General features: G+C 34.9%; 1 protein-coding gene across 4 annotated transcripts in view; it reads left to right on the top strand.

Moving 5' to 3' along the window:
• ANGPT1 (angiopoietin 1) overlaps positions 1–24,650 on the top strand; it is a 248,437-nt gene that overhangs the window by 183,844 nt on the left and 39,943 nt on the right. For all 4 annotated transcript variants that reach the window (NM_001199859.3, NM_001146.5, NM_001314051.2 and 1 more), the window contains 2 exons: positions 10,708–10,835; positions 20,038–20,139. In NM_001199859.3, coding sequence (NP_001186788.1) covers positions 10,708–10,835; positions 20,038–20,139 — 230 coding nt within the window. The remainder of the gene's footprint in view (positions 1–10,707; positions 10,836–20,037; positions 20,140–24,650) is intronic.

The following is a 24,650-nucleotide window of genomic DNA, read 5'->3' as shown; positions in this document are numbered from 1 at the left end:
TTTTCTAAACCAGGGACAAAACAGAACAGTAGACATTAGTCACGGATAAGATATGGCACTTTACACTGAACCAAATGACACCTATAATTACTCTGAGAGACAGTAAGAAAAAATGTTTTATTAACAGCATTAAATATGTATGCATCATATCAACTATAGAGTGAAGACCTCATGAAATTTTTTATACTGTAAGAAGGGAGAAAAAGAAGGTAAAATCTGGGGAATGTTGCAACTGTACACTTAGCTTTAAATGTGTATAAACAAATATTTATTTTTAGCATAAGATTTTCTAAAAGTCAATTGCAAAGAATCTTTAAAACTAGTAACATTTTGGCCAGTCGTGGTGGCTCACGCCTGTAGTCCCAGCACTTTGGGAGGCCGAGGCAGGTGGATCACGAGGTCAGGAGATCGAGACCATCCTGGCTAACACAGTGAAATCCCATCTCTACTAAAAATACAAAAAAAAAATTAGCCAGGAGTGGTGGTGGGCGCCTGTAGTCCCAACTACTCGGGAGGCTGAGGCAGGAGAATGGCAGAAACCTGGGAGGTGGAGCTTGCAGTGAGTTGAGATTGCGCCGCTGCACTCCAGCCTGGGCGACAGAGCAAGACTCTGTCTCAAAAAAAAAAAAAAAAAAAAAAAAAAAACAACTAGTAACATTTTTAGCTTCCTATAGGAACTCATAATTTATTATCAACCAAAGGATATCAACATGAAAACTAACTTTAAGTACACTGGAATCTCATGCTTGTGCTAGTTTGGGTGTTCACATTCTGAGTGGGGTTATGTCTGCTAAGGAGTCATATTAATATGCAGCCTACAAAGAATTACTCATCTTTTTAATGGATTTATGAATAAGTCAGATTATCAAATGTAATATCAAATGTCAGACCTCTTTTAACTTGTGTATTTATTATATGTTTGCATGTATCTTAATTATCTTAATTATTTTTAGGTGTGAACGTTCCATTTTCACAAGTGGGATGACGTCCTTTAGAATAGTGAGTTTGAACTTTGGGTATAATTTTAAGTGGAAATTTGGTTCTAAAGGGAGATTTTGCCAGTTGTTTAGGCCTCATGGACACACAGACACGCACAAACCTAATCTTAATCATAATTAATTATCCAACCTATCTCTCTAGAGCTAGGAATTATAGATTGAGATGGTTTCTCTCCAGTATCTGGGAGCAGGTGTATACCATCGAGAGGGCAGGCATGGTGGTTTAGAAGGAGCAGGAATCATGACATCTCTGTTCTAGTCCCAGCTCTGCTGTCAGATTGCTTAACATAGAAGTATGGCACACCTTAGAGTTTGCCTGGTATCCTACACAAACCTACATACTTTATGACTCATATCAAGCATTCCAACTTTGTCTCTTGGTTTTGTGTCACTCCTAATAACCGGTGAAGCCCTGTATTCAGAGGAGAAGCCCATGTAGAGCCAGGGCTGGTAGTCAAGTACTGTTCTTTAAGTATATCACACCACAAGAGTAAGAATCAAGGTGACGTACTTGTGGTGACAGTCAGGACTTATTTACTTAAAACTTCAAAGTGGAATTTTGTGTATGTGTCAGTTTTCAAAAACATCTGGCAACTGCTTTCTATGTTTACAGCATTGCCCAAGGACTTTCATTCCATTTTTAATGGCTGTTGCTGAAATAAATTATATTTGTCTGCTCATAGCAGAGCACAAAAGATGCCCCTTAAGCTTTCCCACATGTATGGGAAATCTTTTGTACAAAACCAATATATTTTAGCCAGGCTGAAAAAAAGTATATGGGAAATTAACACACACGAAACACCTGAAATGTCTTTGTGAATAAAATGAGCTCCTGAACAAATGGCAAGGGCCGTGCAGCATTCGTAACTGCCCAACAGGGTGCCCAAAGGGAAAACAAAGAAATTAATTTTATGTAAAATGAAAGATTACTTGATTAAACAAAGATGGTGTGTATTTCCAGTTGTACCTTTTAGTCAAGTATTTTTCCCCATTCTTTTTTTTTTTTTTTTTTTGAAACGGAGTCTCGCTCTGTCGCCCAGGCTGGAGTGCAGTGGTGCGATCTCTGCTCACTGCAAGCTCCGCCTCCCAGGTTCACTCCATTCTCCTGCCTCAGCCTCCCGAGTAGCTGGGACTACAGGCGCCCGCCACCACGCCCACCTAATTTTTTGTATTTTTAGTAGAGACGGGGTTTCACCATTTTAGCCAGGATGGTCTCCATCTCCTGACCTTGTGATCCGCCCGCCTCGGACTTCCAGAGTGCTGGGATTACAGGCGTGAGCCACCGCACCCAGCTTTTTCCCCATTCTTGATTACTTTAGGTAGTAATAGGCATTGAATATACGTTGTTATACACATGAGATTCGTTTCACATTGGAAGATAATTGCAAAATTTATTTGAACATGGTAATCAAACTACAGTACAAATATGTAGAATTGATATTTAATTATTCTTCCACTTTAAAACAGACTTTAAATTAGAGCTACACTTATGACATAGGATGCTTTGCATCTCTACATAAATGTAAGAGTTTGTATGTCTTATGTATATCGTAGTATTATTGAAAATTTGTATATCTGCAATTATATATCATGGGCAATATATTCTTCAGATAATTAAAATGTATCCCTTTAGTAAAATTTTATGAAAATTTTTAAATGTGATGAAAAATTACCTGCATTTTTTATCCTCTCCTTTCTTTTTTTGGAAGAGAAAATTGAATAAAATTATGGCTTTTTTTCTAATAATTTAATCCGTTATTATCCATATGAATTAATTTTCATCATAATACCGTGATGCCTCTGGAAAAGTATATAGCATGCCCCCTTTATATTGTTCAGTGCCCAAATTCTTATCATTTCTTAGTTTTGCCTACTTTTTAAAATTTTCTGTCTTTTCCTCACACACATACACACGTACTTTCAATGATCCAATTCCTTGTCTCCATGCCTGATACTAGAAGATGAACACAGACACACACACACATACTTTCAATGATCCAATTTCTTGTCTCCATGCCTGATACTAGAAGATGAACACACACACACTCACACACACTCACATACATACACACAGTCACACACATACACACACACTCACATACACACTCATACACACACACATACATACACACACACACACTCACACTAACACATACACACACACACATATTCCCACTCTCACTACCCCGCCAGCCTATCCTCTCTGTCTTTGAAGCTTCTAGCAAATAGTCCGTAGGCTGGGAGACCAACTACCAGGCTTATGAGAATAATACCTAAAATTAATAGGGGTAAATCCTGAGTCAGTGTGACTTTAAGGGTATGAACATGATAAAATCCAATATGGCTGCTTTGGGACCTCTCACTTATCCTCTGTTAGCTCTTGACATTGTGGGCTGTCACGGCTTCACTTTTCTGCTGAGGGTTTTCATCTCAGACAATTCTACTGCCTGTGGCTCTCTGCTATCCTCATGTCAACATATTCTTTGTTCTTATCATTGCTGCCTCCTCTCTCTTTTCCCATACAACCTGCTTCCATGAGATGAGGCTGTACCCTTTCAGACTTATGGCTTATACTGAATAACTCAGGACCTTGGGTGTGCTCTTGTCAGCAGAGATAAGTATTGCTGGGGATTCTGTGACAGATGACTCACTGAAGTTCTATTTGGGTTTCACTTTACTCAAAGGCCAGTAAGAAGTAGTTAAGATTTTCAGCTTTATAGTCAGAGAGTTCTACTACTTACAAGTTTTGGTGAAGTTAGTAGCATTTCTGAGCTTCAACTTCCCATGTAAAGCAATATATTGATAAATACTCCTCATAAGAAATTTATAAGGATTGAACAAAATGAAGCATGTAAAACATACTTGGCACACAAAATTCAGAGTTTACCACATAGTAAGTGTTCAATTAATGCTAGTTGATTTTATTATGATCATGATTATTATAGTTCCATAAAAAATGGTAGTTAAGATTTTATAGATTATCTATAAAATTACATATAAATAATTTAAATGAGAGCAAAGAAGTTCTTTTTTAAAAATGTTTAATTAAAATAATAATTCACTAGATAAATGATGTTCAAGTGTTCCCTTATTCCAGGGTTAGAGGGACTTTGAGAAAAGAAGTAGTTGTTTTAAATAAAAAAGTACACTTTTAGTTAATCAAAGACTTCAAATTAAGAGTATTTAAGAATAGAATGTATGTGTTTGTTATACTGTCTCACACACATACACACATGCACACACACATATAACCATATTCAATTGCCATTTTTGTAGGTTAAAAACAGTCATGCTGAGATATCAGCCCACAGATATTTAGGTTTGTATGCATATGCTTTCTACAAGAAAAAAATACCAACCTCAACATTTTCCATTTATAAGCATACAGCTTGTATGTATTTGTGTAGCTATATATATTTGTATATCTGTTTATAAAGTCATTGGTAAATATCCCTCACCCCTATACCTACCCATAAAATATTGAAACTTGGACTGCCTGGAAATCTTTTAATTCTTCCACACCCTTGAAATGCAAGACATTACCTTCTTCCACTTTTAAAGATTCTTTTGAATAAATTAGGATTCCAGAGAGTGTCTTCAAAATGTTTTCTCTATGAAATGCCCACACACCTGGCTGAAAAGCACAAAATCTAATCCATCAATTGTTTGCTTGTTTGCACCTTGTCAGATGTGCTGTTTTCTTCCTTTATATGCTCAGTTAATTTCAGTGACCTGTTGTGTTGAAATCACAGGTTCAGGGTCAATTTCTAGTGCTATGATCTTCCTAATAATGATGTCTCAAGGACTATCCTTGAACAAATAACCTGATCCACATGTATTCTGATGTTCGGTAAATACTGGAAATACATGAACCATTAGCCATATTTAAGGTTTAAAATGAACGATTGAAGAACTGATTTCTTTATAGCAACTCATCAGAAAATGGGTAAGAGAAAGGGCTTTGGCTTTTTACACTGTCTCTGGTAGCAAGGCTAATTGCCTTCTGTGTTCTCGGCTAGTGTTGCTGAGGCTAATAATTACCAATTCCACATTCCAGGAAGTTTTTTCTTGAGGGTTCATCTGAATTGAAGTGACCCTCTGCCTTAGATTTCATGGTCCTCCCCTGAAGTCAGTCTGGTGGTGGATGCACCATCTAGATTTAAATTGGTTGGGTAAAGGAAGGGAAGATCAGGATAAAGTCAACAGCTGCTAGCATCAGGGTCTCAGGTTGCTTATTGACTGAATGTTGGCTGGTGAAAGACAGACATGCACCTGTTTGTGTCTCTATTCTATCCCTTTAGATGACAAAGATTTGGTTGTATAGATAAGGCTAAATGAAAAGAATGAATAATGATTCCTTCCTAGGACTTTCTAGATTTATTTGCTGATATTGGTGTGGGCAAAGTCTTTGAACTAGCATACCAGGCTCTTAAATTTAGGTCAGATAAGCTTTTCTATATGTTATATTCTTTCAACTGTTATCTCTTCTAGGTAGCCTTCCTGGTGTCCACCTGGCAGAAGGAGTATATTCTTGCATGTTCCCAATGTGCTTGATACATACCTCTAAGATAACAATTGTCTGCATTCTCTCTCTTTGGTGCTGTATTTAAACTGGTGACATTATAGCCTTACAAGTTATTGCCAGCTATCTTGTGACCAGGTTGATTGCCAAGAATAAGTGGGTCAAGAAAAAGACTAAGAAACCAATTTCTGGTCACATTGTTTGAAACCTTACCATGACTTACTTAAAGTACTACATTGGATTCTTTAGTTACATGATCCAATAAATTATCTTTTTGCTTAAGCCACCTTGAATTGAGTTTTGTCCTATCATAAAAGTTACTAATCATGGGTATAGCGTTCATGGAAGATCTTTTTCGCATCAGGCTGTGATCACATGACAGGCAGGCTTGGGCTTTCTTATGTCTGTATCTCCATTGCCTAGGAGAAGTCTTAAAAATAGCAAATGTCCATCAATATTTGTTGAAATAATAATATAGGATGATTGAACTAAGAGAGGATAAGAAGCAGAGGGACAAATGGAAAAGCCATACTCTAATTGTCTTATTAGAAAAAAATTAACACTTTAATTAATTTTTAACTGATAAAAACTGGAGAAGGATAGTGGGACTAATAAGGGAAAGAGCAAACACCTGGTTTGGAAGGAAAGATTATGGAACATTAAACAAATGAAAGTTGGTGTAGCAGGAAGGACTGCCCAACAGGCAAGTAGATATATGAATCTGAAGGTAAAGAGAGAGGCAAATACTCAGTGTTAAAAAGTGCCTGTGTATATTAGAAATCTTTTGTGCCGCAGTTGGAAGCCATGATAGATAGTTTGCAAAATGAACAGATATATAAGAAATAGAGATCCAAGAATGGAAACTTAGTGAACATCTATATGGTAGGTGATGAGAGGAAAATAAACCGATAAAAGAGGAAAGAGAAAAAACAATTGGAGAAGTTGAAAGGGACTAGGAGAGGTCAACAAAAAACGCGAGGGGAAAGATAGGCAAAGACAACTTCTATAGGGTAGAGGAAGGGAGTGGAGGAGACATATCAAATGGCTTTGATCTTCAGAGTAAACCATAAAGGTCATTTATAAAGAGTGAGAGAAGATAAGATGTAGTTTTTTAAAACAGTAGAAAGATTTGCAATACACTCTACAGGAAATGTCGTAGGAAGTTTATTACAAATGACTCAGTGTTTGCAGTCTACAAGGGGGTTGAGAAAGTGAATGAATGCCCATCTGGGGGTTGGGATTTACCTATGCAAAGGTGAGTGGATGAAAGGACAATGGGTGGAGAGACCAGGGATGCCAAATGGACCATTATTAAATTCCTGACTCTGGGATCGAGGCTAAGAAGAAAGAAAAGGGAGGCTCGGAAAGCAGTGATAGGAATGGCAGGGATCTAAATTCTCAATGAGAGGGAAGATGAACTCATCAGAAATTAAAGAATAAGAAAGGAAAAATAAGAATATCTGGTCAAAGAAAGAATTTTAGACATAAAGATCAACCTTTTAACTCGTGCTTCAAATCAGTTCATTATTACAAAAAGTGTAAACCACTTTGAGAGATAGATACAGCCCTCTTTCAGGTCTCCGGAAGGTTCCCCCTGACATCTGTTCGGTGATGCTTCTTTTACTCTTCCATCAAATCTTAGTCCAGACTTTTTTTTTTAATTTTTAATTTTTGAAGAGACATGGTCTCACTGTACTGCCCAGGTTGGTCTTGAACTCCTGGCCTCAAGGGATCCTCCTGCCTCTACCTCCCAAAACACTGGTATTACAGGGTGAGCCACTGCTCTTGGCCCCATCAAGTCTATTGTATCTATCTGTCTCGTGTCATTTACTAAATATTCCTCCAATTTCTATCTTCTATCTAACTGAAGCTCAAGACCTCCTAAAAATCTTATCACTGGTGCTGACACTTGCAATGTTCAGGAAATTCAAATGTTATTGTCTCTCTAGGTTTTAGAATGTTTCCTAGGTGTCCAGTTTTATAATATCTATGCATGACATTGGACTTCAGAACTCTGCAGTACTTAACAAAGAAACGAGTCATGCAAAAAGTCATGAGATTGAAACTTCTATAACCAACATGTTGACATATAAATCGTTTATAATTTCATCTGAAATAATCTTTAAATCTTAACTATTTAGGTAAAGCTTAAAATACACAGCAAGATGAGATTGCCTGTTTTGGGGTTTTCTTAAATGTAAACAATGGTATAATCTGATTTATTCAATGAATGAAACCAGCCAATTAGCCAAATTTGACCAGGAGAGGCTAATTCAATGTGATCCTAAATATAACTAGTCAACTATAACTGCTATGTTTTAATTAGAAGGTGGAAGACAGCAGCATCCACCACCCCCTAGACTGGCCTTCCACATTCTGCTAGTGTCTCTTCCATAAGAAGGAGTAACAGGATAATATTGCTGTTAACAGTGTTGTCATTACCATAACAACTACCATTCTTGAGTACTTATTATGCTTCACTGTCTTTGCACTGTGTTAGGTAATTCATACACCCATCTCAGAGGTATTTATAACTACCTCACTTTATAGATTAAGGACAAAAAAAACTCTAAAGGTCAATCTACCCTTATCAAAGGGACCTTATTCAAACCGTAGTATATAATAAAAATACCAAAGGTAAGCTGTGGATGAAACTTTTACAATGATTTTCAATGCCTTGCTACTCTAAAGTGTAGCCTAAATTAACTTTCAGGCATATGCTTGCTAGTTGGTAAGTAATTAAAAACAATCAATCTAATCTTTCTGGAAAGAATGACTTTTTTGAAAGAATATAAGTATCTCAATTTTTCAAACATACCAAATTAAATTTCAAGAAAATACAATATCTATTTCAGATATGTTACCATAACAACAAAAAATCCATAATATAACCATAATACTAGGTGTACCTTTTGATGGTAGAATTCTCAAACCATTTTCCCAAGTATAGAATTTGTATTCATGGTTTTGACAACAAATTTATACTGTTAGTTTTCACAAAAATAAGTTAATACCCAACTTTTTCCTTTTTTCTCGGTTACTAAAAATGTGTGTGAAATAGCTTCCTCTTCCCACACATAGCCACTTCACCAACATCTTCCTGAAGTGGAAAGAAAAAGCAAAAATGGGAGGAGAGATGGCAGACAAGAGTGAAGGGAATGTGTTCTCCATACATAACTAAAAAAGGGAGGGCAGGATGTGGTATATACAAGAGAAGCATTTTCTCCATAGATAAATGACTTTCTCTCTCTCAAAAGAGAAAAATGGGTTTACCGTTGGGTTCCTGCTGACCACATCTTCCTGTGTTTTTTGTCCTCTCAAGTGATCATAAATTTTAGTTGGTATTTCTTCACATCTCTTTTTCTGGGCATCTGATTTGCTTATTTTCAACTTTCCAACAGAATAAAGGATCCAGTAGGTGGGATTTAAAATTTTTTTTTGTTTTAGAAAAATAGCAGTCCGTAAAGTTAGAATAAACGAATACCAGTAAACTACGTCAATGCTTTTGAAATGGATACCTTTATATAATCCATTGACATCCTCAGTGTCATTAAAGATGGCTTTTGAGTAAGCATTTATATATGCATCTTTAAATTGCTATTTGCATACATTCTGTGCAGTACTTCTTCACTATCATATGAATCTGTAGCCCTTTAATTAGTTGATTTATTTTGTGTTGACATGGCAATTGTGATGGTGGTATTTAGATGTAATTATTAGTATGATTCATTAAAACCATTAGTGCAGACTTGAGCTACATAGAAAATCATAATGTTATTAAATGCTTTAGTACTATTTTTCTGCTGTGGCAACATATCTGACATAAATATTTCATTTTCTTGAAATATAATTTAATATTTTTTAAAAATCTGAGTAATTTATATTGAAATAGTAATTATTTCCATAAAGATTAGACTGCTCAATACCTATAAGTTAGTAAACATTAGGCAACTAAAGGCCAGTATTTAGTATGAAACCAGTATTAAGTTAGGCCAGGATTTTAGATTTTTAGATCATTTAAAATTAATGTAAAAGTTCTGATTCATAGTTTGCCTTTGTTATTTTTATTATAAAAGACTATTATAACTCAATGTGTTTGAATGCAGATATTTATTGATAGGAAACTTTAAGGGCAAGATAACAAAATAGTCTTAATCTTAATTTCTAGAAAAAGGTTAAATAAAACCAATTACTAAAATAATACATAATAGAAAATACTAAATCATAAATACTTTATAAATATAACACATATATCTTTAGCTAAGAACTATTAAATGTGGGTCATTTTGCATTTTTATTTCATTTGTAAGAAGTTAATAATGGATAAAGCTCAGTAAATAAAATAAGGTTTTCCTCAGTAGAGACAGTCTCTAACTATTAATAGATTTTCTGTCTTCACTTGACTTCTAGTGTTTACTGTGACTCTTTCACCTGTATAATTTAATTTCAAAGTCTTATTTGTTTGTTCTTTTATTTGTGTATCATCTGCCTGATGATTTAACTTTAGGGCATTAAAGAAAGAACAAAGTAAAGTTTGGTTTCATTTTCATTGTAGGTAGTTAAGTTGGGTCATAAACTCTTTTCTACTTCCCAAATCTAATTATTGTTAAGAGTTGTTGATTCTTTTTGTTTTGCTTTGTTTTGTTGGTAAAATTTTCTAGAAGCTCTTCAATATAAAGTCACAGAAAAACAGTACTTCCATTGTTTTAGTGTTTTAAACTTCCATATTGCATTTTTATGTTTGAATTTATCTTCATGTCTTCCTGCTCCAAAAAGTGTGTTAGCACTTTTTTTAGACTTTCCTGTGAAATGTAGGTAAGAACGTTTTAGAGATTTTGCAGGAAACTTGACGTAATTGCTACCAATTGAAGATATTACATGCCCAGGTCATTTGTTCCTTAAGTTGATGTTTTGGAAAGGATACATAGAAAAAAAAGAATTAAGAAATTAAGTAAAATATAAGCATTCAGTTAAAAATGGCTCTACAGCTTTTTCCTTCAGTTTTTTTTTTTTAATTTTGTAAGCTACCTCAAAATCTAGTATTGTCTTTATGATTGACTTTTTACTATGTGCGATATTGACATTTGTGTGGAGGAAATGAAGACATGCTTAGCTATTATTGGAGTCAGTTTGGCTACTAATGGTACTGATATTCACATATTGCAATCTTTTTTTTTTTTTTTGCAGTTTTACTAAAGGGAGGAAAAAGAGAGGAAGAGAAACCATTTAGAGACTGTGCAGATGTATATCAAGCTGGTTTTAATAAAAGTGGAATCTACACTATTTATATTAATAATATGCCAGAACCCAAAAAGGTAAAACCAGAAGTGTTTGTTTACAAGATGTAAGCCAGATCCCAGTTGAATTGCTGGATAATCAGATTGATTTGTGAGCTTGTTAAACTGGAAATATATATAGAGATGCCTGAACTTTTTTCTCCCAGAGATACTCTGTTTCCCAGGTCCATAAAGGATGAAAACCCTATTGTACAGAAATCCCCAATCCACACACCTTTTCTTTCACACAAAATTTTGCATTTATTCCCTGGTGTCCCTAGGATGTCCCCTTGCTCATACATGTTTGCCTTGTACAGATTACATGTTGAGGTCATGTCTACCGTGAGTCTATGGGAAAGAGAAGCCATCTTCCAAAGACCCAACAATCCAGAGAACACACATTATCCAAAGCCAAATACTGTGAGGAGAGGGAGGGGTAGATATAGCTATTTGCAAGTTATTGCTCCTGTTAGGATAGGAGAAACATTTCCTATCTTACTTCATAATCTTGAAAGAATTTGCTTTCCATATTTACATAAAAGAGTGGGTTGGAGGATCGGATTCATCAGTATGTTGAACAGGACCCAAGGTAAACTTTGGAGTAAGCAAACATTATCTTCCTGCTGTAACATCTCTTTTGTATACTGTCTTCCACCATTTATTCATTAAATCATCCATCTATGCCTTCATTCAATACTGTTAAGTGGATATCATGCATTTGTTAGGAACATGAATATAGAGCAAACAGTTTCTAGTGTAATGATGAAGATAGACAATTATGCAGATAGTTATAAAATGCTGTCAATAAGTATAGTGATAGAAATGGTCTGTGTAAAGCAGGGTATATGGGAAGTTTTGAGGTGAGACAGCTGAAGAGAGTGAGATTAGGCAAGAACCTTGCTCTTCAGTGTCTGTGAGTTTTAACTGGAAGCCCAGGGTCCCAAGAGGACCGCATGCCCTTACAGGATAAAACAACTGTCCTCCCCTCATGCCCCCACCTAAATTACTTGTCTCTTATCCCCATTTCCTCTGGGGCCTGTGCAATGCTCTTGGAATCTTCTCTGATTCCCTCAGGCAACTTTACATGACTTTCTCACTACCAGAGTTCTAAAAGGCAGAGATTGTGCCTTTTATCTTTGATTTCCTGGAACCTAGCATAGTTTCTGGCACATAGTAGGTCTCAATAGATATGTGCTGGAATAAATGAGTAAGTGACCTGCTGATGGCAATATCAACACTTCCATGCAGTGCATAGTAAATCAGTCTAACTTACTTAGTCTTCCTGATTGTTAGTCTCCTTTGATAGGCAAAGGAAATGAATCCTGGAGCCCAGTTTGCCAGATGCCACTTAATTGGCAACCCAGGAAGTCTGGACTATAGTCCAGGTCTGATACAATTCTATTTTCCCTTTTACCACTGTCCTCTGTCTCTCTTGATTTCCGTAATGAATAGTTGTTTATGTTAGCTCTAAATGGTTTCTTTTTCCCCTTTGCTGGGACAAAATTTTCTTCTTGAAAGATACCTTTGATGTTGTCTATAAGGGGGTAAAATGTAGGAGTGGAGTGGGCACAGGAGGGAGGACAGGCAGGAGGCACTCTTCTGTACTTTGCTACCTCAGCCATCTACCAGAGAAGTGTGGTTTTGCTGTTTTTCATGTTTGATTTCTGTGCAAGATTACATTGAATCCCATGGCTTAAAGAAGCAAACAAATGAAAAATTGAAATACAATGGCAAGTCTGGGAATGAGGAGATGAAGATAACTTATTCTAAGGAAGATATCCTAAAATCACACTTAAGCTTAAATTCAATTCACACACACACACACATCATAAACACACACCATACACACAGCAGATGAAGTATGTGAGAATTTGATCTGGAGTAGGAGGTGGAGTTAAAACATTTGCTTTATCATTTACCTACAGTACTACTCAAGACCTGAAAGAACCTCTAAATTATTGTCAGTTCCACTAGAGCTTATAATCTGACTATAAAAATAAAATTAACTAAAAATACTAAGCGAACTTCCATTTAGACTCATAGTGATTCTGTGATATAAATGAATCGAAAAATAATTCCCAAAGTTTTCAGATCAAGAATATTCACAATTTTAGAATTTTTTTGACTTCATCATCAGTACTACCATGTGGTCTGTGGGAAGGGGTGCAGTACAAATACAGCTTTAGTCATTCTATGGACTTTAGTTCATATATAACCACAACTACACTCTAGTTTGAAACATTATGAGATGCAAATGGTGCACAGGCTATTTGCAGAACCACTGCGCCTGGTAATGTGAAGAAAAAGATCCCACCTCAATTCATAATCCTGAATAGGTTTGCTTTTCATGCTTACATAAAATAGAATGTTGGAGAATCCAATTTACTCCTTCCATGGCTGGCTCCTGGGTTGGTTTCATCAGGAAAGCAAGATTCAAGCTTACGCTTCTACAAAATGGTGGATTTTAAATATGATGGAGTTTTTGGGTTTTCTTAAATAAATAAAACTTAGAATATTATATTCACAAATGTCAAGTACCTACTGAATTAACTTCTGATATTTAGGCTAAGAAAAAATAATAATCTGAACAGGTTAGCAGTAACATACCCATACGTACCCATAAGGAGCAAATTTTATCACTGCTGAATGGCCACCATGGCTTTTCAGAGAGAAGAAGGAGAAGTTCCAATATTACCTGGTCAGGACTATTGTTAGATTTAGATTTAGTTTTATTGAAATACTAGCAGAGTGTGGTGAGAAGGGGAGATAACTGAGCTGAAGAGAGAAAGACCTGGCCTTCTTCTGGACTTAGATGTTCATTCTCTTGTTTTATTATTTCCCTATTATAATCATAGATTCTCTTACAAGTAGTAACATTGTTCTATAATAAAGATGGGTATTTCAGACTGACATACATACACATTTTTGCAGGTAAAAAATTTAGTGTTTAATCCCTTAGTATAATTGCATAGCATAGCACTGGTAAGAACAAATATTGTGTGAATTTCCTCAAAAGTAATTTACAAGCTGATTAACAAAATAGCTCAAATGTATTGAGCATTTACAGTTTGCCAGTCTTCTTCTAAGCATATATATCTCTATATATAGATAGATATAGATCTCTATATATAGATGTATACTATACTATACTATATATATACTATATATAGATATATAGAGATATATATAGATCTCTATAGATATAGATACCTATATCTAGATATAACTATATATATAGTTATATCTAGATATAACTACATATCTAGATATCTAGATATATAGTTATATCTAGATATCTAGATATAACTAGTATATAGTATATATACAGTATATCTAGATATAACTACATATCTAGATATATAGTATATCTAGATATAACTACATATCTAGATATATAGTATATCTAGATATAACTACATATCTAAATATATAGTATATCTAGATATAACTACATATCTAGATATATAGTATATCTAGATATAACTACATATCTAGATATATAGTATATCTAGATATAACTACATATCTAGATATATAGTATATCTAGATATAACTATATATATAGTATATATAGTATAGTATAGTATGTATCTAAATATACTATATAACTATATGTCTATATATAGATATTTATATCTATATATAGAGATCTATATATAGATATATAATATACCTATATATCTGCTGTCTATATCTATATATGCTATATATATCTATATATGCTATGTATATCTAAATATCTATATATATGCTTAGTGTATATATATGCTTAGTACATATATATGCTTAGTATATATATGCTTAGTATATATATATGCTTAGTGTATATATATATGCTTAGTATATATATGTATGTTTATATATATATATATATATATATATATATACACTCCTTCATTTACTCTTTTCAACAACCCTATGAGATAGAGACTCCCATTATCCCTACTTTAGAAAGTTAACCTGCCCCATACAAATTCTTAGCAAATATTGAATATTGACTTTGAAACAAAGGAATCTAATTCTAGGATACACCCTTTTAATCAGAGGATTAAGCAGGATCATTATTTATGTTAACGATAATTGAAATTGTATCATTTATAATTTTAAATATGAACCTGTTGCCCCATGGGGTGGTAAACACATGGTGTGACATGTGAGCTACACAGGCAAGGGTTTATTTTTAGAAAATTAGGTAAGTTGATTCATGTTCTCATTATAACCCACCTCATTCTCACCTTCCTATAATCTCAGTTTTTTCCATCTTGAAATAAATTGTCAGCATTCTCTCAATCCTATAAAAAGTGCTAGCAAAATTCATCGTTAAGACTTTCACCCTTCCATGTAGACTGTACATTGTAAACAGGAAGTTTGGTGCTACCCCTGGGTAGGCTTAGCCAAAGCATTGCTCATTATAATGTTTCCAGAAGTTTTGGCAAGGGTAAGAATCTCAAGGCAACCTACACAAAAACCGAAGCATCAAATATGCATGGTATGGACGAAAAAATAAACTAGGGTTATTAAAGGAAAGTGACAAACCAATGAGCAGAAATTATTCATCTTGTAGTCAGTGTGTGAGTTGCAAGTATAACAGGATTGTAGTACAGTAATTTTTTCGATTGACATTGTTCCATGCCAAAAAAAAATGTCTTTGAAAGTTAGAGAAATGTTATCTTTTCAAATGTGGAAGCCAAAGACGGTTTTCTAGGACTATTTAACTTTTCAAGCAGAAAGAAAATTAGATTTAGGTCATTTCTGTATTTACTTTTTGCTTTTATGTTATTAATGGCTTGTGTTTATTTTTCTTTCTGAATTCCCTTCAATGTATAGTAGTAGGAAACAAGACTTTCCCTTTCATTTTATGTTTCCAAAACCAAATGCCTAGTTTCATCCAAAAAACAAACCATTTAATCATTACTCTGCTTATTGTAAAATATTAAAAATTTGATTCTGAACTCGTAATTCCCCTAATTCTTGGAAAAGTACTGTAACAAATGGGTTAAGCCCTTTTCATTTATGGTATGGAAAAATAATTAACATTCACAAGTCTAATCATTCCAACTTCTATGGAACATAAAAGTATAAAAACTATGTGAATCAAATTTCCCCGTTTTGTTTGGGTTTAAGCCTCCGTATTATGTTAAAAGGTGTTTAATGCTTGAAAGCTTTGACCTTGCCTGGGATAGGAGCCAGTTCAGTCATTTCTTGGATAGAGTTAAGCCCAAGTCATATGATCAATAAATGCAATAGGCATAGTTAATGTAGCAGGGTCTTGTCCACAGGAAGGACACTGCCAGATAGCACAGACCACACAATACTGGCAAATGAACTTTTCAAGTCTTTCATGTCTCAAATCTTTCTAAAACCTACCATCTATTTTTTTAAATTTCCTTCATCTGTTAAGCATAGGCTTTTATTTTTTTTTCTGACTAAAAATAATAGGCTTTTGTTTTGTCTTTGCTAGAGTGAGTCCAACCTCTTAAATATAGATATATGTATGCGTGTGTGTGTGTATATATATATATATATGCATACATAATACATATAGAAAGGTGGCATGCTCAAAGATTAGTGATGCCAATATTATAATAACTAGAGCCTAGAAATCATAATTATAAAGATAATTTATTGAACTTCTACATGTTTTGGTTTTGTATATTTTCTATTATTTATAATAAATTATAAAATTTGTATGCAATGTTATATAACTATAGTATATTAAATTTAAATATTATATACATATTAAATATTACATTATATACATAGAGTGTATAATGCGTAGCATAAACATATATTATGTCATCAGTAATACATGTAAGAGATGGGAGTAGTGTCAATGCCTATTAAGTGCCAAATGCTGTTCTAAAAATTCTATATGCATTAACTCATCAAATTCTCAGAAAATATCTAAGAGGTACATACAGAGAGCAGAGGTGGATTTTAAATTCAGGCAATGTAGCACTCAAGTTGGCGCTATTAACCAAGGTGTCATTCAGCTCCATTGTGCCTATATAACACAAAGAGCAGCTGTTATCATTGATGTTATTAAGTCTGCATAAGAATTGGGAAGCATATGTTCAACCCTTTAACCTCTCTGTCCCTCAGCTTCCAACTTAGTAATCTGCCTGGGTAATTTATATTTCCCAATGGTTTTTCCTCTAGGTCTTTATTTAAGAAGCATTCTCAGCACATCTGAACATTTACAAGTCACTGGATTCCTCTGTTTAGAAGGAAAGTTGTCTTTTTCAAAAATTTCCGAGTGATTTAAAAGCTAAGATGCCTCTGTTTAGAAGGAAAGTTGTCTTTTTCAAAAATTTGTGAGTGACTTAAAAACTAAGTGCATAGAGTTTTAATAATCTAGGTAACAGTAATTTAAAAACTGTACAATATAGTTTCCTCTCTGCACTCTACATTTATAAATGTAGTGATTCTTTTCCCTGAGTATGTAAGTGGACTTTACAGCTTTGCAAACACAACTTGGCAAACTTTCAGGCAATCAGTGTCCATTAGGAAATAAAAATTTGAATAAAAACATTCATTCTGGATTAACAAGTCAGGGCACGATAAAATTTAATTGAGAAACTAGTGATATTAGCTGCTTCTAGAAAAATGTTTCCTTGATATTTTCACTTCCCTTTTTTCTCATTTGAATTTCACTGGTAAAGCTCCACTTTGACCACTTCTCTTGAATCACCACCTATGCCCTCTTGAAACTATGCCATCTGATTTTATTCCCACAGGAATCTGCATTCTCTCTCACCAAGGTCACTAAAGGCTTCTTCATTCAAATTGAAGTTATATTTTCTTAATCATTTTTTATCTTGACTTTTCTGAAACCTTTGATGATCACCTCCCCAACTCTAAATCCATCTTTCTTAGCATTCCATTAATCAAATTTTCCTATTTTATCTCTCCTGTTCCATCTCTATTTGTTTATCAAATATTCATTCAGTACCCGCTACAGGCTAAGCACACCTCTAGGTACTGGGGACAGCAGTCAATTGAAAGAAATCCCTGCCCACCTAAAGTTTCCTGATGTATTCTGTCCTTCTCAGGTGTTCACCAAAGCCCGTTCTTTGACCCTTCTCACTCCCTGCCACACACATCTGTTTCCACCTTTTTCTTTACTTATTTAAGTAATTGCATTTGTCTTCATGCTATTAACAAATGCTTTTAAGCAGATTATTCCCAATAATTTTCAATTAGGTAGACATAGGATTCAATTCTGAATCCAGTTCAAATCAATTTTAAATCCCAGATCCAGAGCTTATTGTTGAGTATAATCACTGGTAAGTTACTGAACTACTCTAAACCTCAGTATTTTTTCATCTGTAAAATGGAGATGATCATCATACCTACATCCTACTAGGACTATCATGAGAATAAATTAGAAAATGCATGTAAGGTGTTTATATTATTTGGTCCTTAACAAGCATGTCATTGTTAATAGCAATTCCTTTCTTTCTTCCTTATGCTCTTATCCATATTTTTATCCTTGGTCTAGATCATCTCGAAGTGCTCGATAAACTTTTTCTTTGGATATCTGTGCTACCTCAAAGGCTAAGGTGTCCAAAACTACGATCATTTTCTTTGCTAGCCTTTGAGGTATCCAAAACTATGATCATTTTCTTTGCTCGTGTTTTCTTTCTTAAATTTCTCATTTAGATTATTGTCTCCATGATTCTTCAGGCTATTAGAGCTGAAAATTGTGAACTCTGTCTCCTTAATTCTATGGGATCAGTCACTATTGAAACTTGGAGATGTTTGAGTACCTGACCCATATTTTATTTATAATAATACCCCCAGTTGTAAGTGAAAACTGATGCCCAAGAATGGTTGTTGAGTAAATCAAAAAATAAATGAATAAATGAAGTAGAATTACGGAAAATAAAAGTGTAGCTCGAGGTTATGTTGACTGAGAGCAGGTGCAGAAATTAAAGGAATAGTGGTGGTGGGGACTACTGGGACAGGAATCAACATTTCAAATGTACAATCTTGGAGGTGAGTCAATTCCTAGGGTTAATGAAGACATACTGTATGTGTGGCTGTTGTCAAAGTAGGGCGAGAGCCTTGGGAGGAGAGTTGTCCTATTTCATATGCCCACAAGTAGGCATGTATATCTTGGACCCTTCCACTCTGAGGAAGTACATGGACAATTCGCTCTTTGAATGACATTTCTTGCCACTGCTTTTATACCCTTTTTGCTACTTGTGTTCCAAATGCAATGCCTCAGGGAAAACACTTGAGGTTTTTTCTTTAATCAGGGCTTAGCTCTGTGTCCTCATAGCCTGCTTGCTGCTGTTGCATCATATCCCACCTTTAGCCAAGCTTCAACATGCTTTAGTATTCAGTTGTTGAGGAAATAGTGTTTCCCATAGTCCCCGTTGAATAATCAAGCTGCCACATTCATGCTACATCAATTACAGTGATTGCTCTCCGACGATAATCCCATTACAGATATGTTTCTCTTCTTGGGTAGACCCTGGGGGAAATGAGTCAATTTCTAAATAAATACCATTGTATTTTGAATAATTAAAATATGCATAAGTCTTTGAAAGATTTGTATAAATTTTCCACATGGGAAAGAAGTTATTGTCACAGTCAGAAGAGATACAATATGTCATGTTCTCCTGTTATTGTTCGTGACTAAAATACAAGCAAATAATATATTCTACATATGCTATGCCACAAATGTTGCCTCTAATGAAATATTGACTCAAGGATATCTACTGTAACATGTACATATATAAGAATTGATAGGCAATGAAATATGTGATAGTTAAAGACATTATATTTTAAAAATTTTTTATTCTTATTGTACTCCCATTTCAATCAATTTAAAGTTTTAAAATTCTGAGTCATGTGTTTTGGCAATCAAATGGTCTGTAACTTTGGAAATTTGGTAGCATTTCCAAAACTTTGAACATACTCAAATGCTTATTTTCATTTAAAACAAAGATTTTTTAAAATGTTGTATAGTCTGAGACAAAGACTTAATTTTCAGCTGACTAAAATTTGTGCATGTAATTTATTCATCATTGATGGAATTTAATCAGAAATAACTCAAATATGAATCAGAGGAAGAAATAACCAATAATATATCTAAATTAACATTGTTCAATATAGTAATTTCGGTTTTTGTAATCTGCAGACCTGTTCGCCTTATTCCTATTTTGAAACATGTAGGATATATGTTTTTTAAAGTAGAAGTATTTTTTACTTGACTTTGTTTTCCATTTGTCAGGTGTTTTGCAATATGGATGTCAATGGGGGAGGTTGGACTGTAATACAACATCGTGAAGATGGAAGTCTAGATTTCCAAAGAGGCTGGAAGGAATATAAAATGGTAAGATGCAAGAATTTATGGTGCTTTTTGGTGTTTTATCTTGAAGTTATCTTCTCCATACTATATGATGAATCTTGGTATTTTTAGGTGGTTTTGAGTTATTTTTGACATAAAATGATACATTAGTATTATTTTCATTAGACACAAAACACTCATAAATCACTTTCAGTAAATGATTTCCACGTGTGCGTCAGAAAGAAAAACGTATTACTGAAATTATTTGGTGAACTGTTGTGTATTGTCTGTATTTGTTCCTAGTTGCATGAGGGTGGGGGAAGCTAGAACTCAGACCTTCGTTGGATACGTGAGCCTGACCAAGGGAGCTGTGCAGGGTTGCAGGTTGTGGAACAGGATGGGTAATAGCAATGGCCTCACCCACATAACTGGCTAATTGTTGCTGGCTGTTGACTGGAAGCTTCTCCATGTGACCTTTCCATGTGGCTAAGCTAAGCTTCTTTCAGTAAAGTGATCCAGGGTTATCAGACTTCTTACGTAGCACTTGTCATCCTCCAAAGACAAAGCAGGAGCTTTCAGCCTTTTTTAGTTTTATTAGACCCAGAAATGAAACAGTGTTACTTCCATTGCATTCTGTTGGTTATGGTTGGTCAAAAGGAAAGTCCAGATTTAAGGCACGAGGAGTACACAAAGGTATGAACTGTGAGCCATGGCTCACTGGGGTCTGCAAAATAACAGCAGGCATCATCATCATCATCATCATCATCATCATCATCATCATCACAGTTCTTCTCTTTTTTAATGCTCAATATGTCTGCCCTATATGTAATTTCTTATCAATTTTTAATATCAGCCCTATTAACTAACACTATGCCCATTTTAAAAGGAAACAGAGATGAGCAAGGGTTGAAATAATCCAAAATCCAGTAATCACATAGTCGGTGCCTACAATATTAACTATTAAAATCTGCTGACAGAATGTAAAGGCATAGTAATGCAGGAGAATCTATATTTATGGATTCTCATTCTTTTGCAGCTGAAACCTCTAGATAATTCTTGTCTTGACTTTTTGACAAATTTTCTCTCACCAGGTAGAGAGAAAGAAATGCTATACTAGCCTCAGTTCTGTCTTGATATTCTTGCAGACAATTTGTAAAAACTATGGTTGATTTGCATCAGAGTTTGCCCATTAATAGGCTCATAGTTGGTCAAATGACAGTAAATAAGGGGTTTTAATAAATGAATGGAGGTTTCTAGTGGTGTCACTGCATCTACATTTTTATCAGATACTCAGTCGAACAGTCTGAAAGCACGTTTAAAAAGTTTGGACTTACACAAAGTTGGAATCCTGATGTCTTTGTTATTTCATAAACTCAAGATGGAAAGGTAGGCTGAAGCCAGCAAGATATAATTCCACAGAGATGATTGTAGAATATTTCACCTAGATAAAAAATACCTAAATTAACTCTGAGAAAACAGGGTAAGGGTGACAAATTGCCTTAAGGACTTAGTATTTGAAAGAGAGGTTTATTTGGTTCTAAGCTCATTTTGAATTAACAAAGATTAATGTACTCAGTGTACATTACTAGTAGTTTAGGGGGTCACATAAAATGCAGAACTCACTGGTGTCTGCCATGTTCTGGTTACATCAAAAACATAGTTTCAATTCTAGAGGTTTTCAAACAAGTGAACTTATCCTAGGGGTTATAAGCAGGATGGGAGGAATTTAGAAATTACATCTGTAACAGGTAAACACCTGGAGAAAAAAAGAATTAGGCATAAACCTGATAGCTATTTTAGTTAACTGGATGGAGGTAGGTGATAGTAGAGCCTGCTTCTCAAAATGTGGTCCAGGGACCAGCAGTATTAGCATCCTCTGGAAACTGAATGGAAACACGAATCTCAAGCTCTGGACCAGATTTACTGAATTAGAATGTGCATTTGAACACTGCCTGAGAGGGGAGTGCAATAATGAATGGAGTAATATTCCAAGAAGGCAAAATTTGACCAAGTATGAACAAAACTCTCTAATGATTAATCCCAACATCAAATAGACTGCCTATTAAGTGGCAAGCCCCCCCCCCCCCCCATCTTCAGTGGAAATAGAAAGTATATCATTATCTTTTGGGATTGGTATGGAGAATTGGAATGCTAGGTCAGATTTGAAGGCCTCTTCCTACCTAGGTGATTCTAAAAATATATGAGGGATAAAAGATTATCTATATTCAAAAACAAAAAGACTTTGAATTATGTTTATATTAACAGTTATAGGCCAGGCACGGTAGCTCAAGCCTGTAATCCCAGCACTTTGGGAGGCCGAGGTGGGTGGATCACTAGGTCAGGAGATCGAGACCATCTTGGCCAATATGGTGAAACCCCGTCTCTACTAAAACAACAAAAAATTAGCCGGGTGTGGTGGCACGTGCCTGTAATCCCAGCTACTTGGGAGGCTGAGGCAGGGGAATCGCTTGAACCTGGGAGGCAGAGGTTGCAGTGAGCTGAGATCACGCCACTGCACTCCAGCCTAGCGACCGAGAAAGACTCTGTCTAAAAACAAAACAAAACAAAACACAATTATAGTCTTCACTCTGCCATTTACAAGAGGAGAGATTTTCGACAGATCACCTAACCTGCACCTTAGCTTTCTAACTAGTTAAAATAGGACAATGATAATACTTCACCTGCCTCACAGTGATGTTTCAAGGATTAGAAGTAATGTAAGTAAAGCACTTTGGCACACTGAATTTTCAGTGAACAGTAGTTATTTTTATTATCCAAGATGAAAACATCAAAGCAAAAATTTCACTTAACTATGCCAAAAATACTGTTTTGCAAACCATCTGAATTCATGATTATTTTCACCACTAAAATGTGATGTGAAGAAGTCATCTGAAAATCAGACTGTAGATAGAGACTCAGGCTAATCTGAAATACATTATTATTAAAATTAATGATAACAGAAAAATAAATATAAAGTTGTCATCATGGTGACTTTCCAAAATGGTGAATTCTTAACTGTAAACATCTGCTGCCTTGGCAAGCTAGGCATGTTAAGTAAGAGATACTGACTTGTTAAGTATGGAATCAATTCATGTCTTGTAAGTATTTACCAAATATATCCATTTCTAAGCAATTCTTTTTTCATTATTGGAACAAAACTGAAATTCTTTAATCATCATGTTTTATGGAGTTTACCCCTCCTCCCTTTTTTAAAATAAGAAAGGCTATCATGCTTTATTCAAACTTGAAACATTTATCAGATGAATGTCAATTTTGCATGATCAAAAAATGAGATAAGCTCCAACATTTTGAAATATTCTGGCTAAAAATGAGGCTGAATTTTTTTAATTGAAAATATTCATCATATGTTACAAGATGGTTAAAACACATGGTAGACAGTGTTTCGGTTCTTTCTCTAGAGTTTTTCTTTCACCTAAAGACAAAATAACATGACTCCACCAGGAATGGATATAGACTCCTTATGCCAGTTCTTATCAATCACACCTACTTCTATTTCCTGCATCCAAAGAACTGCCTGCTCACTTCTTCAGCTAAGGGTGTACATCCTTCGGGATAACAAGAACTTGGCATGCCCCAACTCTTCTCCAGTCTTTACCAATCTACTATTATATATACTAGGATGCTACATTTCTTCCTTGGGCAATGAGTGCAGAAATCAAGTTTTCTCTCTCTTTCCTTTCTGCCTTTCCTCTCTCCTTCCTTCCCTTCATAGTGATTGATATCTATGGGCTGCCTCTTGCTTCATAAGATTTCCATCACATGTAATTACAAATATATACTATATATTATCATTATTTTTAAACCTCTGTCAATATGAAAGGTTTACCACTTTTTGGATTCTCGGCATTGGCTTTAAGCCTACAAGTATCTTACCTAAGCTTAGCTGTCACTTAACCTTCCTCATGAGGAGATTCAGCAAAATCTGGTTTATGGATTTGTAAAGATGTTTGTCTGAAAGGAAAGTCTGGAGTAGGCTTTTTAATGAGGCACTTAGGGAAGATATTAGCTCCTTCAAGTCATAAGGATACCCTTTAGTGGCCTCCAGCAGTAACACTTATCAGCAGTACTTTCACATATAAAACGCAATGAGGCTAGGAGTTCCAGATAGTACCCAAAATGGCCTAATTTTATACTGTTGTAGGCAATGACTAATGTCCTGGAGGCAAACTTGCTTTATTTTGAGAACAATTACCCCCATAAACAGAGCTTCCTATCCACTCAAAAATTTCAGTGTGAGCACCATTCCTTCTGGGAGTTCTTTGTTTCTGGAAAGAAGTTGAGAGCACATTTTCAGCTATATTTTAACATCTTCACATTAAAAAGAGAAAAATGCATATGAAATTAAAAATTTTGAAATACAAAATTTGTTTCAGTCTTTCTTGAGTTGCACGTCTCAGCATTTAGAGGAGATGCACAATTTAACTGCATATGAAAGTGCCCTGAAAGCCACAGCGCTGTCTTATCTGTTTTTTATTTTTTAAATAATTTGTGTGAAAAAAGATGCAACCCATGGAATACATGGGCTGTGTCTGGTT

The sequence above is a fragment of the Homo sapiens genome, chromosome 8, assembly GCF_000001405.40.
Source record: "Homo sapiens chromosome 8, GRCh38.p14 Primary Assembly".
In the NCBI taxonomy this organism is placed as follows: domain Eukaryota; kingdom Metazoa; phylum Chordata; class Mammalia; order Primates; family Hominidae; genus Homo; species Homo sapiens.
Note: the sequence above shows the minus strand (reverse complement) of the source record. Positions and strands in the feature narration are given on the sequence as shown.